Consider the following 17,829-nt stretch of genomic DNA (forward strand, 5'->3'; position numbering starts at 1 on the left):
GTTCCCTGGCCCACCCCCATCAGACCAGACAGCGTCTCTCTCATTTGATCTTTTCCTGAGTATCAATCCTCAGTGCTAATGGGTCACTTCTCCCACCCCTGCTGAGGGACAGCCATCACCTCCTGGAGCTCCTGAGGACCCTGCCCCAGCAATGTGCAGGTGGGCTGCCTGTCCCATGCACCCAATCCCCAGGGCCTCAGCCACGAAGATGCTTATGTTCTTTCTTGTACTGAGTCAGGCTGAAAGAAAAAAAATAAAAACAGAGAGGAAATTAGATGTGAGTCTGAGAGCCCCACCCCTGCCAAGAGGTCCGCAGCCCTGACCCCAGGCTCCCTCACTCACTGGGCATCCTCGCCCTCTAGCAGGCGGTGGTAGGTGGCGATCTCCTGCTCCAGCCGCGTCTTCACGTCCAGCAGGATCTTGTACTGCTGGTTCTGCTGCTCCGTCTCGCAGCGAAGCTGGGCCAGCTGCTCCTCCACACTGCCGATCAGCCCCTGGATCTGGGACAGCTGCATGCAGTAGCGGCTCTCTGTCTCCGCCAGGTTGCCCTCCAGGGATGCTTTCTGTAGGACGGCAGGAAGACCAGGGGTCAGTGAGGGTTGTCAGTGTCCTCTTCGGGGCCCACCCCCATGCACAGGGCTGTTCCTACCATGCTGAGCTGGGACTGCAGCTCGATCTCCAAGGCCTGCATGGTGCGCCAGAGCTCCGAAATCTTGCTCTTGCCGCTCTGGACCAGTTCGCTGTTGGTAGCCACCTCGCGTTTCAGTTCCTCTGTCTGCAGACAGGACACAGGACAGGGTGGTGTGAGCCTGGATCCCTCTCCCAAGTCAGGCCTCCTCCCAAATCTAACTATGGAGAGAGTGGTGCCTTCTCACCAGCTTCCCACATCCCAAAGCCCAGAAATTTGAAATGTTAGCTTTCTATGGTTAATCCCTGCGTGTGGGAGGCACAGACCGGAAACTTGAGAACCAGCCAGAACATGTAGCCTGGCTCTTGCTGCTAGTTCCTGACTTCTTGAGAGAGAGGTGGCGACTCCCAAGGTCTTTACCCTCTGCCTTTATTCTGTGGGGGCTCCCTACCTCCCCACCCACCCCCCAGATCCCAGCTTGAGCTCAGCTCCAGGTCTGTTGATGCAGCGTGTGACCCTGTGGTCCACGCAGCTTGCTGAGGAGTGGGCACCTCCAAGACACCTGGCTGTGGCCTTACTGTCAGTGCTAAGGCCCCTGAGCCCCAGCCCCGAAGAGAGACCTCTGGCCTGCAGCAGCCCCCACCTTGCTGAAGAACCAATCCTTGGCATCCTTGCGGTTCTTCTCTGCCATCTTCTCGTACTACTCATGCATCTCGTTCAGGATGCGGCTCAGGTCCATGCCTGGGGCAGCGTCCATCTCCACATTGATCTCACCGCCCACCTGGCCTCGCAGGGCGTTTATCTCCTATGGAAAAAGGGGATGTGGATGTACGCATCTGGACCCATCCTGACCTCTCACTCCCAAGCCTTCCCCTACGAGGGGACCCCACTCCCCACAAGGACCCCTCCTTTGTTCTCCCTCTGCTCTGTCTGACCCTCTAAATGATTTTTATTCATCTGCTCAGTATTGCCTCCACCATCAGACTCTATCTCCCCCATTAGACCAAGGGCTCTCCAAAATAAAATCTAATTATTAGGCCTATGCCCCAAACATTTCCCCTCTAATTTCCAAGCTTCTATGTAGATGTTCAGCTTTGAGAGTTTGAAATGGGACAAGAAGGAGACTTCTTTACTTATCCCCCGCCCTCATGAGGGAGGCCAGGGCAGGTAGAGGGAGCCTCTGCGGGCCCCTGGGAGGTTCCTTGGGTACTGAGAAGCAGTGTGGTACAAAGAGGAGTCTGCCCTGCACGCTAGACCCCAAGGATCAGGGCTCTGCAGACAGGGAAGCCCTCTAAGGTGACTAATCCCAGTGCGCCTGCTCTGCTCTGCTCTCTCCCATGGCCTCAGCCATGGCCCGGCCCCAGGGCTCTGCCACCCACTCCTCAGCATCTTTGACCTTCTGCCCCAGCCACCTCACCTCCTCGTGGTTCTTCTTCAGGTAGGCCAGCTCCTCCTTGAGGTTCTCAATCTGCATCTCCAGGTCGGCTCTGGCCAAGGTCAGCCCATCCAGCACCCTGCGCAGGCCATTGATGGCGGCCTCCACACTCAGGCGCAGGGCCTGCTCTGTCTCAAACCTGCCGTGGGAATCAGGGACTTCAGCCCAGGCTGCTCGGACCTGCAGGTCCAGGTCCTGGCTGCTCCCCTGCCTTCATTTTGCCAGGACTCTAAGGGGTTGGAAGGGCTGATGAGAGGGTCGAGTGGAAATGAATTCCAGCCCCGGGGCCCCGGGACCATCACAGGGCCAGATCCCACGCCCACCAGCTTCCTTACTTCTCTCTGCCTCCCGCCTCCCCTCCCTCTCTTCTATTCCCTGCCTGAGCCCAGCAACCTTCAGAACTGGCTGCCTTCACTGCATCCTGGACTAAGGGGTGGGGCTCCTGGGACTGCCCCACCCTGAGCTCCTGGGCCTTGCCACAAGCAACCAAGGAGTCCTGGGGTCAGGAGGGGTAGGTACCCTGAGATCCTCCCCCAGCTGGCCCAGGCTGCCCAAGCCCACAGCTAGGACTCACTTGGTGCAGAAGTCAGCAGCAGCCAGATGGGCATTGTCAATCTGTAGCAGGATGTTGGCATTGTTCAAGGTGGCTGTGAGGATCTGAGGAGATGGGAGAGTTGTCAGGTCACTGGATGGGGGTGGCTGAGCCCACACCAGGGTTCTGAACAGATCTTCCTGCCTGGGGGCCTCTCTTCCTGCCCAGCACCTCCCCTGCCACCCAGCCCCTCCCTTGCCCCGTGCTGTATTATTGGCAGAGGAGGGGCAAGCAGGAGTCTGAAGGGCTGAAAGGTGCCTCTTCTTCCCCTGCTACTCAGTACCCCACCAGACCCCGATGCCAGGCTCAGCCTTAAAGGAGAAGAGACAGCTAGCTGGCTGGGAGTATGAGGCAACCAGAAAAGAAAGGGAAAATGTCCCCAGGGCAGAAGCTGTCCCAGAATTCTAGAACAAGGGAGGGGATGTGGGCAACCCCTTCGCTTTACAGTCATCTAGGGGGTACCCCTGACAGGCTCCCCCAAAAGGAGGCTAAAGGAGCCCTCACCAAAGAGTGGTTCCAAATCACAAGTCAGGACCCCTCCTAATCCCTAACCCTGGGCGCCAGCCAGCAGCCCCGCCCCCTGCGGTTTTAAGGGACAGCAGGAGGAAAGGAGAAGCCAGAAAAATCCCCAAATAAGGCACATCAGAGGCCTTCCCCACCCTGAGGTCCTGCCCCCTCCTTTCTGCCTCCCCCCGCAGCAGGTGCTATTGGGAGCTCACTCAGACACCCCCACTCCACATCTCCCAAAACCCCCTCCTGCTGACCCCTGCTCCAAAGGAGCAAGACACCATGCATCCAGCGGCCCACGGGCCCAGCCCTCCATCTGCATCCTCCCGCCTCATCCTACAACCTCTCCAGGTGGAAGAGCTCCACCAGGGAGAAACTGAGGCTCCAAGGGGCTCCACGAGGCCTGTTTGTTCCTGACTCAGCCTGCTGCCCCCAGAAAAGGGGCATGTGGGCCACACAGGGGCCCCAAGGCAGGTTTCCAGAACCTAAGCCACAGCCAAACCACCCTTGGCTCCCTGAGACCCTATGGCTGGACTCCATGCCTTTGGCCAGGGCAGGAGTTGGGGGGAAGAAGTCATGCCCCCCGGAGACCCCTCCCACCAGCAGACCCTACCTTGTTCTGCAGCTCCTCGATTGTCCTGTAGTACTGGCTGTAGTCACGGGCGGGCCCCGGGGCCTGCCTCTGGTACCAGTCACGGATCTTCACCTCCAGCTCAGTGTTGGCCTCCTCCAGGGCGCGCATCTTGTCCAGGTAGGAGGCCAGGCGGTCATTGAGGTTCTGCATGGTGGCCTTCTCACCTCCGGCCAGCAGCCCATCAACGCCCCCAAAGCTGCTGCCATAGCCACCGCCAGAGCCAAAGCAGTAGCAGCTGGAATAGCTGCTACCCCGGAGGGCACTGCCCAGGCCACCAGCAGATCCCAGCCTGCAGGAGCCGGCACCCAGGCCGCCAGACAGCCGGCAGGAGGTGCGGGATGAGCCACTCCCAGGCCGGAGGAGCCCTTGATGGAGCTGGAGGAGGTGAACTGGTGGATGGTGGTGGTCATGGTGGCGGCGGCAGGAGGCAGGCACACAGGAGAAGGGCTGGGGAGGAGAGGGGCCCCAAGTTGTGTAGGGCTGTGGGGGTTCACACGCTTCCCTGGGCTTTCATCACCATGGGCCACCTGCTAGCTCCCAGGTGGCTGGGGACCCCCTCCCCACCCATCATCAGGAATTTGCCTCATTTCTCCAAATCCTCATGCTGGGTGCCGTGCGTGTGCATGTGCGTGCCACTGCTCTCAGGCCTGTCACCTGTGATTCGGGCGGGCCCTCCAGCTATGCTTTCCCATGACCCAATACAGAGAAGAGGAGAAGGCAGGACTTCACCGTCCCCAGGCCTTCCCAGGCAGCCACCACCCCAGCCCAGCCTGCCTCAACCCTGTCTGGTGGGGAAATGGGTTGCAGTGTCAGGTGACCCCCTTGAAGTTGCTGTCTTTCACCCAACACTGCTCCACCTATGGTGCTGGCCCGGGGCTGGGTGCTGAAGAGAAAGAGGGGACCAAGAGCCTATCCTGCCTTGGAAACTGAGCCCAAACCCACCAGGCCCACCTCACAGCACAGAAATGCCATCAAGCCTTGGAGACCAACCCACATCGCACATAAAGAAACTGGGGCTCCAGAGGGGTGCAGTGTCCACACTGGCCCCTTCTGCAGAGCCTGACACCCAGGAATGCACTCTAGGGGCTACAGTTCCATCCAGTCAGCTTCTGTCCCTGCCCCATCCCTAGAAGCCCTTGCTAACCCAGTCTCCTCGTGTAAACCTTTCCCCAGGTTTACACTCCAGGCTGGGGTGGGCAAAGAGGGGCTCAGCTATAGGATGGGGAAATGGTGGGCTGTGCTAAGAGAGGATCTAAACCAAGGATGCCCCCTTCCACTCCTCTCACCCTTCTGTACCCCAAGAGACCTCAGGGTCAGGTGAGGGGCATTTATCTCAGGTCTCAGCCCACAGGAAACCTAAAGGACATTGCCCAAGAAGAAGCTCTTACAGAGACCCCAGCCAGTCCCCTCCCCACTCCAGGCTCCCCAAGATGTGGCTCCTCAGGTGGGCCATGTGCCCCACCCCACAGCCCCATCCTGCCCTGCCCACCACCCCAAGGCCGGCCCTGGGTCCCAGGGTCCCACCAGGCCCGCTGGGTGGAAGGTGGTCATGTTTCAGACTGCCGATGGCTTCCACTTCCCAGACAGGCCCAGATAGCCCCACCAGCAGCCGAGAGAGATTCCTCAACAGCCCAGTGGCTGCCAAGCCACCAAAGCAAACAGGACACCCCCCATGCATACACGCACAGCGGCCACCCCGCCTCACACACACCCTGAGCTGGGCAGAGCCGGTCTGGTTTCCCAGGCTGCCTGCGTCGCTCTCACCCCCTCTCACTCATCAATGCCCTGGACCACTCCTTCAGAAGCCCCTCCCCACGGAGCCCCTCTCCTTCTGCTCTTGAACCTGCCCTGGGCTGAGGCAGGGAGTGCTCCCCAAAAGGCATGGTGACGGGGACTCGGGGCTGATTCTTAGAAACTTTTCCCAATACAAGGGGCTGTCCCATCCCTCCACCCTTAATCCTTTCGCCTCCTCCCTTCACGTCTTTCCAGGAGCCCCCGGCCTGGATGGAGTGGGCAGAATAGATTGGCAGGTGACAAGCTGATACCCAAACACTCAATAAACTATCCACCTCCCCCAGTCCCTCAGCCCACACTGCCCCAAACCAATGAACAGACCAGATCACACGAGGCATTGAACTTGGAGCAAAGCTTTAATAGCAGGCACTGGACAAACCCAGGAGGCCTCCTCAGTGAGGGGCTGCAGAAAGTAGATACAGAAAGACAACAGGTCATGAACCGGGGCCCAGATGGACACTCGGGGCATGGCAGTAGCATGCTGGCAGCTGGAGCTGATGGCTGTGCCATGGCCCTTGAGGTGGGGCTGTCACAGGCAGAAAGGGGCCTCAGTGGGGGGAGAGGTGGACCTGCTCACAGAAGGAGACCACCTCTCCAACCTGGACTTCCTCCGTGATGGCACACCTGGTGGCTGGTCACTGTGGCTGCAGGCGATGGAGGAGGGAGGCACAGGGAACGTCAGGCAGGAGCTCTTCCCCCTACCTGCCCCCGAGTCTGTGGTCCCCCCAGTCTCCCACACAGAAGGGCCCTCAGCCTCTCCCCTCCCTTGGGGTCCACACAGCAGGAGAGGGCAACTTCTTACCTTCCCGGGTGGGCTGCGAGGCCAGGGACAAGGAATACTGAGTGGCCAGCCTGCAGGGAGAGGAGCACCCATCAGCCCAGGGATGCCAGCCAGCCCAGGCTCCTGCAAGCGCTGCTGGCATGAAGCAGGACCTGGCAGAGGAGGTTCCCCCAAATTGGTGAAAAATCACAGTTGGGAATGCACAGAAATTAGCACAGGCCCAAGAATGAAAGGGCAGGGGTTCAGCGCAGCAGGAAGAAGAAAAAGAAACAGCACAGCAGTAGGCCTGGAGGCACTCACCAGGAATTTACAAGGAGAAGCTGAGCAAGTGGTTTTTCCATATCCCAGAGGGCCCAACAAATAGACCCAATTAAAGCAGGAGAGACTGTCGTTAGACTATAGATGGACTTCACCATTTTCGGGGAGCAAAAAGCTGCAACGTGTGACTAAGCATGGAGACTCCAGGAAACTGTCAGCTGAAGGCCTGATCACCCTTCCCACCTGCAAACCCGACCACCACCCACCTTGCTCTTCACCCTGTGGCTGATGGTATCACCACTCACACAGTCGTCGGAACCAGAAACCCAGGGCCATCAATGCCCACTCCTTCATATGTGTTCACCCGACACTTACTGAGTCCTGACTGTGAGCCACGCTTACCCTGAGATCCAGGCATCCAGTCCTGCTGTTTTGAGCTATAACCTCTCTTCTGCGTGCACCACCTTCCTTCCCCTGCTGCCCCACCCCCCCTCCACCCCGCAGGACTTCTCTGGCCAGACTCCCTACTCCAGCCCCCTGACGCATCTCTCTGGCCCCACCCTGACCCCTCTGATCCATTTCTCCCTCTGCAGCCAGAGTGAATGTTCTAAAATATCTTGATGTTCATTCCCCTCTTCAGCTCCAAATCCCTCCATGGCTCCCCATTGCCTACGTGATCTAGTCCAGACGCTTTAACTTGGCATTCAAGGCTCCTCAGTCAGACTCCAGCCTGCATGGTCAGTTTCACCTCCTGCAAACCCCCACAGGTTCCCACATTCACACCTCCTGAACTTCGCTGGTGCTCAGACACCAACTTCTCCCTGGGTGAAGCGGGTCCCCAGGCCGCCCCAGCAGGTACCCGGGTGCACACTCACTGGGCGTCCTCAACCCCCAGCAAGCGGCGGTAGGTGTCAATTAGTTCAACTTCTATGGAAAAAGTAGGGAGGTATCTCAAAGAACTAAAAGTACAACTACCTTTCGACCCAGCAATCCCACTACTGGGTATCTACCCAAAGGGAAAGAAATCATTATATAAAAAGGCACTGCACTCCCATGTTTATCGCAGCATAACTTACAACAGCAAGGTCATGGAACCAAGGTAAGTATCCACCAGCGGTTCATTAAATAAAGAAAATGTGGTACATATACACCACAAAGTACTAGGCAGTCATAAAAAAGAACAAAATCAAGTCCTTTGCAGCAACACAGATGCAGCTGAAGGTCATTATCCTAAGCGAATTAATGCAGAAACAGCCAAATATTGCATGTTCTCATGTATTAAGTGAGAACAATGGGTACACATGGACATGAAGATGGAGAGAATACACTCTGGGGACTCAAAATTTGGGGGGGAAAGTTGAAAACGTACCTACTGGGTACAACCTCCAATATTTGGGTGATGGGTATGCTAGAAGCTCAACCCCCCCATTGTGCATGTGATATACATATAACAAACAAGCACGTGTACCTTCTGAATCTAAAATAAAATAGAAAAAGAAAAAAGCCAAAGAAAAACATCCCGGTAATCCAGGGAGCAGCGGCTACTGCCTCCACTGCTCACTGCAGCCCGCAGGTTCCACGCCGGCAGCTCCTGCCTGCGGGGCAGTGGAGCTGCGGAGAATGGTGGGATGGGTCTAGGTGCCAGGGCCAGAGCCCAGGAGGGGCACTGAGTAGGGGCCTGGCCGGCCTCTCCCTTGCACCGGAGCAGGGGTGCCTGGTGAAACGGACAATCTGATGCTCTCTGGGCCCTGCCCATGTTCCCCTTCCATCCACCCTCCTTTGCATCTTTCTGTGCCTGGGGTCCCCATAGGAAGCGGTCACATCCAGACTCACCAGGCCTGAGATGCTGGAGGATGGAGAAGCGCTTGCCACGGGAAAAATCCTCCAGGAACACATGAACAAAACTTCGCCTGCACCTGGGACATCCTTCTCTACGGCTGGCCTATGAGGCAAGTGTTCTGCACACGCTCCTTGGCTAACTCCAATGCAGAGGAGCACATGAGCCCAACCTCCACGGCAGGTGCAGATCTTTGCCTCCCTTTTATAATGTCTGTATTCAAATGACATACCCTGGAAGCCTCTTTCTGATAGGATGAGAGCAGACTCTGTACTACAACACAGATTGGATAAGTCTCCAACTCTGATTAGTTAAGATTATCCAGTCAGAGCAGGAGACTATTATCCAATAAGAGTTGTCGAAAAAAGTTCCTTCTCACCCAATCAAAACAAAGCTTCCAAGATACAGCGGTTGAGTACAGCCGTTATAAAAGGGAGGCGAAGGCCCATTCCGCCATTTTCTCTTTGTGGAGGCTGGGTTCGCGTGCTCTTCTGAGCTGTGGTCGTCATGGACCGGAAGCGTGTGCGGCGCGCCTGCCTTGAGGCCAGCATCAGGGAAGGGTGTCCCAGGTGCAGGCGAAGCTTCCTTCAGGTGCTCCTGGAGGACTTTTGGCTCGCAAGCGCTTCTCCATTCTCCCAACGTCTCGGGCCTGGTGAGTCTGGATGTGAGCGCATCCCACGGGGCCCAAGGCACAGAGAGAGGGAGGAACGGGGTGGAGGGAGGGAAGCGTGTGCAGGGGCCAGGAGCGCCAGGCTGCTCGGGCTTCCCGGCCCCCGCAGCCCGCCAGGAGCTGTGGCCCCGCTCGTGCCAAGGCAGAGGCCTGCCCTCCTGCTGCTGGCGCTGTCACCTCCCCGTGCTCCTGCCTCCTGAGTCCCTGAGGGCCTCCTGTCATCTGGAACTGGAAATGTTAGTGAAGTGACGTTTTGTGAATATTTATTGGCCTTTGCGTCTTTGTCTTCATTTTCAGTGCTGGCTTTTCTGTTGGGTCATTTGTATTCTTACGTTGATTTGAAGAATTTAAAAAGGTATTCTATAAATTAATCCTTTATGGGGTCATTTGTAGTGCAGATAGTTGTTTCTTAGTCTGGTCATTGTACCTTAATTATATTTCACATTTCTTTCTTGCTGGTAAATAAGAAGCTAATTGATTTTATAGATTGATTTTGTATCGTGTTACCTGGCTTAATTCACATATTCATAGCCATCATTTTTGGATTGTGGTGGGTTTTTCATGTACTTATGTACATGTAGTTATGTACTTACGTACTTACGTACTTAAATACTTACGTACTTAGTGTCAGCCACGCGTGTGTCTCCATCCTTGTGCCTGAAGCCTGTATCTTCTCTCCAGTATCACCATCCCGTAATGACTGAAGCCCACGTCTGCCCTTGTGTATTGTCACCTGGTCTGTCCTCTGCCTGCACTTTATGCCCCCTGTCAGAAGTCTCCATTTCTTGGTCCTGCAGCCCGTGCCAGCCGTGTGAGTCTCCATCCTGTGTGCTTGCAGCACATTGCTTGCCTTGAATGTTGCCATCTCCTTAGCCTTCAGGCAGTAGCAGTCCTCCAGTGCCTCAATCCCTGTGTTTGCAGCCCATTCTGATGTTTTTGTCCGTCTGTCCCCTGAGCTTCTGCCCATGCCAGCTTATGTTTGCTACATTCTCTGTCCCCCTAATCCGTGTCCACAGTCAGTGTTTTCATCCATGCTTTTTGGGCCATGTCTGCACTCGTGTGTCTCCTTCCCCTGTGCCTTCAGCCCATTTCTGTCCTTTTTCTGGATCATTTCTCCCGGGAGACTATGCCCAAAACTCCTATCCCCAGTGTTTGTACGTGCAGCCAGTCTATTTCGTTGAGTATCTCCGTCTGTTGTTACTGCAGCAGAGGCGTGTCATTGAGTGTGCCTGCTTCCCATGCCTGTCTTCCTGTGTCTCCAGCCCTTGTCCATGCAGCCCACATTAGGACTCTTGTGACTCCACCCTTCAGCCTACAGCCACATCTACCTTCGGGTATCTTTATCTCTGTGCCCCCTGCCCACGCCAACCTTCACCTACTCCTCTATCCTGCACCTTTACCCGTGTCTGTCCCTGGTGTGCCTCTCTGCCATGCAGCTGTAGCCAGCGAGCTCCCTTTTTGTCTGGATCCCCTGTGATTGTAGCCCAGGTCTTCTCTCCTGTGCCTGCAGCCCGTGTCTGCCCTTGAATGTCCCCATCCTCTGTGCTTGTCACCCACTGGCCAGGCCTAGCATGTTTCCACTCTGTGCCTACACCCATGTCTGCCTCCAGGGTCTCCACTCATGGTGCCACAGTTTGGTTCCCGGTCCCTATCCTCCTGGGGTGGATTCTGGCATTGTGTTGGGAGGGAGAAGGTGACCCATGAAAGCGAAGCCTGGAATGATGTAATGGGCAAGGAGGCTGCCATTCAGCAGGCTGCACAGTGGCAGAGAAGACATGGCCAGTCAGAATCCTCCCTGCATCGGGGCACTCACGTGGGGCTGTGCCTGGTGTGGGGAGTAAGGGGAAGCTGGAGTAGGAGGTCTGGAGCCACCTGGCCCTCTTGGGCCTGAGACCCTCCCCACTGCAGGGGCTCCATCACTTCCCTGGTGGTCCTGCCTCCTGGGATCCTGCCCTGCAGTGTTTCTGCAGGGATCCTCTCACCTGGAACTTGCAGTGGCGGGTTTCATGTGAGGTAGAGTTTAGCAAATGTTTATTGGCGTCTGGGCCTTACTTTTCTTCATATGCTTTGCTCATTTTGTGCGTGTTTTTGTAGGGTCCTTTTTTTATATTTATTTGAAGGATTTATCTTAAATCTGCAAATTGATCCTTTATTGGCTCATTTTTGTCATAGATACTTGTTCTCTAGTTTGATCATTATTTTCTATTGGTTTCATACTAGTATATAGTAATCTGGTTGATAACAATAATGTATCCAGTAAGTTATTAATTGAAACAGTTTTGGGGTTTCCAAGGATTGTCTAGGCATGTAATAGTGTCATATACACATAATGACAATTTTTTTTGTTTAAAAATTAATCCTAATGCCTTTTTATTTCCTACTGTATTGTTTCTCCACTACAATGCTGATTAAAGAGTGATAGCAGGCATCCTCGTCTGTTCTTGCACTGGGGGAAAAAGCTTCCCATAATTCTCTGTTAGTTATGTTATTTGTTATTGGCTAGTATTAGACTTTATCAGATTTCATCAAATTAAGGAAGTTGCTTTTTTTTTTTTGAGATGGAGTCTTGCTCTTGTTGCCCAGGCTGGAGTCCAATGGCTCGCTCTCAGCTCACTGCAACCTCCACCTCCTAGGTTCAAGCGATTCTCCTGCCTCAGCTTCCCGAGTAGCTGGCAGGGAAAACCCAGCTGCAGCCTAGACCTAGCCCAGATAGTAAATTAGCAGGGCTGGGAGTCTCTGTCATATCAGCAGTCATATGTCTTAAAACCAGAATCTACCCAGATTATATATATATATCTTGTATCTGCCGCTGCCATTACCTTCTTTTCACTTTATGTCAAAAAAAGGAAAAGAATCCCAGCACTGAGGCAGGAGGATTGCTTGAGCCCAGGAGTTTAAGTCTGCAGTGAGCTGTGATAGCACCACTCCACTCCAGCCTGGGTGACAGAGGGAGACCCTGTCTGAAAAAAAGAAAAGAAAAGAAAACCTGTCATGTTACTGACCAGTAATAGGGGCTCCCAAAGTATAAACTCGCCTCAGACCCCTGTTTGTTCTTCCTGCTACCCTGTCCATTCTGCCTCTGCCCGGTTCCGAGGCTGGACCATACCATGAAGGAAGGCCCCTTGGTTACAGCCTCCCCAGCCCGTCAGCCATGCTGCCAAGAACACTGGAAAGAGTGAAAAGCTAGAGGGAGGTGGCTGCCTGCAGGAGGTTTAGCATAAAGGAAATAGGAATGGTAACAGGAAATTGAAGAAAACAGTTAAAAAGAGCAGTCATTCAAGAAGGACTCCACTGATGCTGTGCTGTCCCCCACCTGACAGAAATGGACTGAGGCAGCTGCCAGAGTGGATATGCAAAGGCAATTCACATGTTCATTAGTGCCCTTTTATAATGTAACCTAGTCATAATGAGATTGCAGGGAAGAGATGGAAAATAAGATGTTTCCAAGCTTGATCATAAGAATAGTATTTCCTGCTGGCGTGATTGTGTGTGTGTGAATATTTTGGATTAGTTTTCAAAACATTTTACATTTGATGAGACCCAAAACTCATTTTGCCTTGAGTAATTTTTATTCATTGTTAAATCTGTGTAAAATTAGAAATATAAATATGTGTCTGCTTTATTTACTCTTCACAAAATATGGTGTCTAGACCTGTTTGTCTATGATGCCTCATAGGCTTGTTCTCTCAGAATTAGGAAGCCAAAAAAAAGTGGTGAAAGTCAGATGGTTCATAGTCTTTTTGAAAACCAGTAGCCATGTGCATTTTACTTAAAATAACTTTTCTTTTTACCTCACCAAAGTACAGCATGATAGGTTATGTTCAATCCCTCTCTCTCTCCGTGTGTGTGTACATATATATGTATTTTACTTGAGATTGAGGGGGTACATGTGCAGGTTTGTTACATTGGTATATTGTGTGATGCCGAGGTTTGGGGTACAGTTGATCCCATCACTCAAGTAGTGAGCATACTATACAATGGTTAGCGTTTCAGGCCTTGTCCCCGACCCTGCCTCACCCCTTTCAGAGTCCCCATTGTCTGTTGTTCCCATCTTTGTGTCTCTGTGTACTCTATGTTTAGCTCCCATTTATAAGTGAGAACATACAGTATTGGGTTTTCTGTTCCTGCCTTAGTTTGCTTAAGATAATGGCCTCCAGCTGCATCCATCTTGCTGCAAATGACATGGTTTCCTTCTTTTTTATGGCTGTGTAGTATTTCATGGTGTATATGTACCGTATTTTCTTTATCCAGTCTATCATTGATGGGTATTTAGGTCCATTCCATGTCTTTGCTATTGTGACTAGTGTTGGAATAAACATATGAGTACACATGTCTTTTTGGTACAATGATTTGTTTTCTTTTGGGTACGTATCCAGTAATGAGATTGCTGGGTCGAATGGTAGCTCTGTTTGAAGATCTTTGAGAAATCTCCAAACTGCTTTCTACACTGGCTAAACTAATTTACATTTCCACCAACAGTGTATAAGTGCTCCCTTTTCTCTACAGCCTCACCACCATCTGTTATTTGTTTGACTTTTCAGTAGCCATTCTCACTAATGTGAGAAGGCATCTCATTGTGGTTTTGATTTGCACTTCTCTGATGATGAGTGATGATCAGCATTTTTTCATGTTTGTTGGCCACTTGTATGTCTTCTTTTGAGAAGTGTCTATTCATGTCCTTTGCCCATTTTTTAATGGGGTTATTTGTTTTTTGCTTGTTGATTTAAGTTTTTCTTATAGATTCTGGACATTAGATACATCGTTTGTGAATATTTCTCCCATTCTGTAAGTTGTCTGTTTACTCTGTTGATAGTTTTCTTTGCTGTGCAGAAGCTCTTTAGTTTAATTAGATTCCACCTATTTTGGTTGTTATTGCAATTGCTTTTGGGGACTTAAGCCAAAAATTCTTTGTCAAGGCCAGTGTTGAGAAGGGTATTTCCTAGGTTTTCTTCTGTAATTTTAATAGTTTGAGGTCTTAACTTTTTTTTTTTTTTTGGGGGGGGACGGAGTCTCGCTCTGTTGCCCAGGCTGGAGTGCAGTGGCGCGATCTTGGCTCACTGCAAGCTCCGCCTCCCGGTTTCACGCCATTCTCCTGCCTCAGCCTCCCGAGTAGCTGGGACTACAGGCACCCACCAGCATGCCTAGCTAATTTTTTGTATTTTTAGTAGAGACGGAGTTTCACGTATTAGCCAGGATGGTCTTGATCTCCTGACCTCGTGATCCGCCTGCCTCAGCCTCCCAAAGTGCTGGGATTACAGGCGTGAGCCACTGCGCCCAGCCGATAAGAGTTTTTGAAAACAGAAATCAGTATGTATTTTATCAAATGATTTAGAGTACAAAATTTTTCTCTCTTAATGTGATACAACAAGAGAATGACTTTGAAAAATTTTCTAATGTAGAACCAGTCCTGAATTTCTGAGATTAATTCATTCAACAATTCATTCATTCAACAAATATTTATTGAATGCTTATTATGTTCAAGTAGGGTTCTCAGCACTAGGAGGAGGAACAAAAGAGAATCAACAGAACAGCAGTGAATCAAACAGAATCAAAATTCTTGGGCCATACCACCCGGAACAGGCCTGATCTCCCCTGCTCTCAGAAGCTAAGCAGGGTTGAGCCTGGTTAGTACTTGGATGGGAGGACTAGAGTGCCTACCTGCAGGAAGTACCCATTCTAGTTGGGGGGAAACAGAGAACTTTTGTTAAAACAATGTAAAGTATTCTGGAGAAAAATAAAACTTGGAAAGGGAATATGAAGAGAAGTGTGTTTGTGTGATTTTTTTTTTTTTTTTTTTTTTTGAGAAGGGGTCTTGCTCTGCCACCCAGGCTGGAGTACAGTGGCGTGATCTTGGCTCACTGCACCTCCCCCGCCTTCTGTGTTCCAGTGATTCTCCTGCCTCAGCCTCCTGATGAGTAGCTGGGATTACAGGTGTGTGCCACTACACCCGGCTAATATTTGTATTTGTAGTAGAGACGAGGTGTCACCATGTTGGCCAGGCTGGTCTCGAACTCCTGACCTCAGGTGGTCCACCCACCTTGGCCTCCCAAAGTGCTGGGATTACAGGCATGAGCCACCATGTCCGGCCTGAAGTGTGTTTGAGTGATTTTTAAACATGGTGGTCAGGAAGGAAGTGCAGGAGAGAGCCAGGTGACTTCCTGGAAAAACATTCCAGACAGAGGGGACAGCAAATACAAAGGTTCTAAAGAAGCAAAATCTGGGCTGTTCAGGAAACAGAAAGGACAGCTGCAGAGCTGGAGTGGAGTGAGCAAGGGGAAAGGAGTGGGAGGTGATAATAGGCAGATCATGTAGGTCACTGGAAAGACTCTGGCTTTTAATCTGACAGATTAAAACGGGAATCACAACAGGGTTTTGAGCAGAGCAGGGACAGGATGGGAATTACACTTTAAAAGGATCCCTCTGACTGCTCTGTGGAGACTGTGCTAAGGTGCAGTGAAAACAGAACCAAAGAGACCAGTGAGGAGAATGCTGCAGTGATTCAGGTGAGAGAGGAAGATGGCCTGGACCAGGGGGGTAACAGGGGAGATGATGAGAGCTAACTGGATTTGGGGGTTGACTGGATCTGCAGAAAGATTGGATAGGGTGTGTAATAGAGAAGAGTCAAGAATGACTTCAAAGTTTTTGCCTCCAGGTTAGATTGGACATTAAGATGGTGGAGACTGCAGGAAAGCAAGTTTAGGGAGAAAAGTAGGAATTGACTTTTGAGCATATTGCCCATTTGAGATGCTATTTATGAGAGTTGGATTTATGAGTATGGAGTTCTGAGGAGAACTCCCACCCAGCAAGAGATAGAAATATGGGAGTCATCGGCTGGGTGCGGTGGCTCACACCTACAATCCCAGCACTTTGGCAGGCCGAGATGGGCGGATCAAGAGGTCAGGAGATCGAGACCATCCTGGCTAACATGGTGAAACCCCATCTCTACTAAAAATACAAAAAAATTAGCCAGGCGTGGTGGTGGGTGCCTGTAGTCCCAGCTACTTGAGAGGCTGAGGCAGGAGAATGGTGTGAACCCGGGAGGTGGAGCTTGCAGTGAGTTGAGGAGATCGTGCCACTGCACTCCAGCCTGGGGGACTGAGTGAGACTCCGTCTCCAAAAAACAAAGAAATATGGGAGTCATCAGTCTACAGGTGGTATTTAAAGCCACGAGGCAGTAGGAGTTTATGAGGGGAGCAAGTATAGGTAGAAAGGCCATCTAAAGACTGTACTCTGGGCCGGGCGTGGTGGCTCATGCCTGTAATCCCAGCACTTTGGGAGGCCAAGGTGGGTGGTTCACGAGGTCAGGAGTTTGAGACCAGCGTGGCCAATATAGTAAAACCCTGTCTCTACTAAAAAATACAACAATTTGCTGGGCATGGTGGCGTGTGCCTGTAGTCCCGGCTACTTGGGAGGCTGAGGCAGGAGAATCGCTTGAACCCAGGAGGCGGAGGTTGCATGAGCTGAGACCTCGCCATTGCACTCCAGCTTGGGTGACAGACAAGACTGCGTCTCAAAAAAAAAAAGACTGTACTCTGGGGCACTTCAAGGTCAAGAGATCAGGAGGATGAGGAAGAACCGGCAAAGGAGACTGAACCTGTGCCGCCAGAAGCAGCGGGAGAATCAGAGGAATGTGCTGAGAAAAGTTTTCTATTTTGTCTTTTTGAGACAGGGTCTCGCTGTCACTCAGGCTGGAGTGCAGTGGTACAATCATGGCTCACTGCAGCCTTGATTTCCCAGGCTCAAGTGATCCTACTGCCTCAGCCTCCTGAGTAGATGGGACTACAGGTGCATGCCATCACACTGGCTACTTTTTAGTTTTTGTAGAGATAGGGTCTTGTCATGTTGCCCAGGCTGATCTTGAACTCCTGGGCTCTCATGATCCTCCTGCCTTGGCCTCCCAAAGTGTTGGGATTACAGGTGTGAGCCACCACGCCTGGCTGAGAAAAGTATTTTTAAGAAGAGGGAGTGATCGGCCAGGTCAAATGCTGCTGAAAGACTGAATAAAATTAAGAAATGAACATTGACCATTGGATGTGGCAGTGCAGAGGTCATTTCGTGGAGTGACTGGGGTGAGAGTCTGTGGGAAGGACTCAGCAGAGAACGGGAGAAGACAAATGGAGTCAGCACATAGACACAACGCTTTGAAAAGTTTTGTAGAGAATGGAAAGAAACAAATAGGATAGTAGTTGGGGGAGGAGTGAGGCTAAGTGACTTTACCACACGGGAGAAACGTCACTAAATTTATCTGTTGTTGGGAGTGACCCAGTGAGGGGAGGGACTGCTGGTGCAAGGGAGCAGGGGAGCTGCTGGGGCCCTGCCTGAGAAGCTGCAGGTGGTGGATCCAGAGCTCCAGGGGAGGCCTGGCTTTGGCTCGGAGCCTGGACCGTCCATCCATGGTGAGAGGAGAGGACACAGAATTGGGACACAAACATAGGGAGGTGGGTGGTTTTGCCTGTGTGGGGAGGTGGAAGTTCACTCTTAAATGCTTCTCCTGGTTTCTCAGTGATCAGAAGTGAGGTCAGCAGCTGAGGCTAAGGATGAAGGAGAAAGTGTTGGAGGTTTGAGGAAAGAGGAGAGAGTCTGAATAGCTTTTCTGGAGAGAAAGCAAGACAGAGAGAAAGAAGGAGAATGGTCAACAGCAACATAGTAGGATTCTTAGGAAGCAAAAAGGGCTGCGTGATCATGAATTTTGA

At 52.0% G+C, this 17,829-nt stretch overlaps 1 long non-coding RNA gene and 2 pseudogenes across 2 annotated transcripts in view, besides 3 other annotated features; 1 reads left to right on the forward strand and 2 right to left on the reverse strand.

Annotated features, from left to right (window-relative positions):
- Positions 217–4,272, reverse strand: KRT17P3 (keratin 17 pseudogene 3; annotated as a pseudogene).
- Positions 1,890–2,567: an enhancer, noted in NCBI's record as "H3K4me1 hESC enhancer chr17:28896451-28897128 (GRCh37/hg19 assembly coordinates)". NCBI's record gives its function as "activates a minimal SCP1, AML or CMV promoter by ChIP-STARR-seq in naive H9 embryonic stem cells {active_cell/tissue: H9 hESC(naive)}" and the evidence as "EXISTENCE:reporter gene assay evidence [ECO:0000049][PMID:30033119]".
- Positions 2,568–3,245: an enhancer, noted in NCBI's record as "H3K4me1 hESC enhancer chr17:28897129-28897806 (GRCh37/hg19 assembly coordinates)". NCBI's record gives its function as "activates a minimal SCP1, AML or CMV promoter by ChIP-STARR-seq in naive and primed H9 embryonic stem cells {active_cell/tissue: H9 hESC(naive and primed)}" and the evidence as "EXISTENCE:reporter gene assay evidence [ECO:0000049][PMID:30033119]".
- Positions 3,924–4,601: an enhancer, noted in NCBI's record as "H3K4me1 hESC enhancer chr17:28898485-28899162 (GRCh37/hg19 assembly coordinates)". NCBI's record gives its function as "activates a minimal SCP1, AML or CMV promoter by ChIP-STARR-seq in primed H9 embryonic stem cells {active_cell/tissue: H9 hESC(primed)}" and the evidence as "EXISTENCE:reporter gene assay evidence [ECO:0000049][PMID:30033119]".
- LOC101927093 (uncharacterized) lies at positions 5,928–8,961 on the reverse strand. Its single transcript, XR_243789.5, has 3 exons — positions 8,463–8,961; positions 6,393–6,442; positions 5,928–6,234 (listed from the first exon to the last, which is right to left on the reverse strand). It is a non-coding gene; the product is annotated as an uncharacterized LOC101927093 (long non-coding RNA).
- Positions 8,922–17,829, forward strand: part of SMURF2P1-LRRC37BP1 (SMURF2P1-LRRC37BP1 readthrough transcribed pseudogene) — a 61,002-nt pseudogene continuing 52,094 nt past the window's right edge. Inside the window, exon 1 of the transcript NR_015341.2 lies at positions 8,922–9,118. The product of NR_015341.2 is annotated as an SMURF2P1-LRRC37BP1 readthrough transcribed pseudogene (transcript). The remainder of the gene's footprint in view (positions 9,119–17,829) is intronic.

The sequence above is a fragment of the Homo sapiens genome, chromosome 17 (genome assembly GCF_000001405.40).
Source record: "Homo sapiens chromosome 17, GRCh38.p14 Primary Assembly".
NCBI lineage: Eukaryota > Metazoa > Chordata > Mammalia > Primates > Hominidae > Homo > Homo sapiens.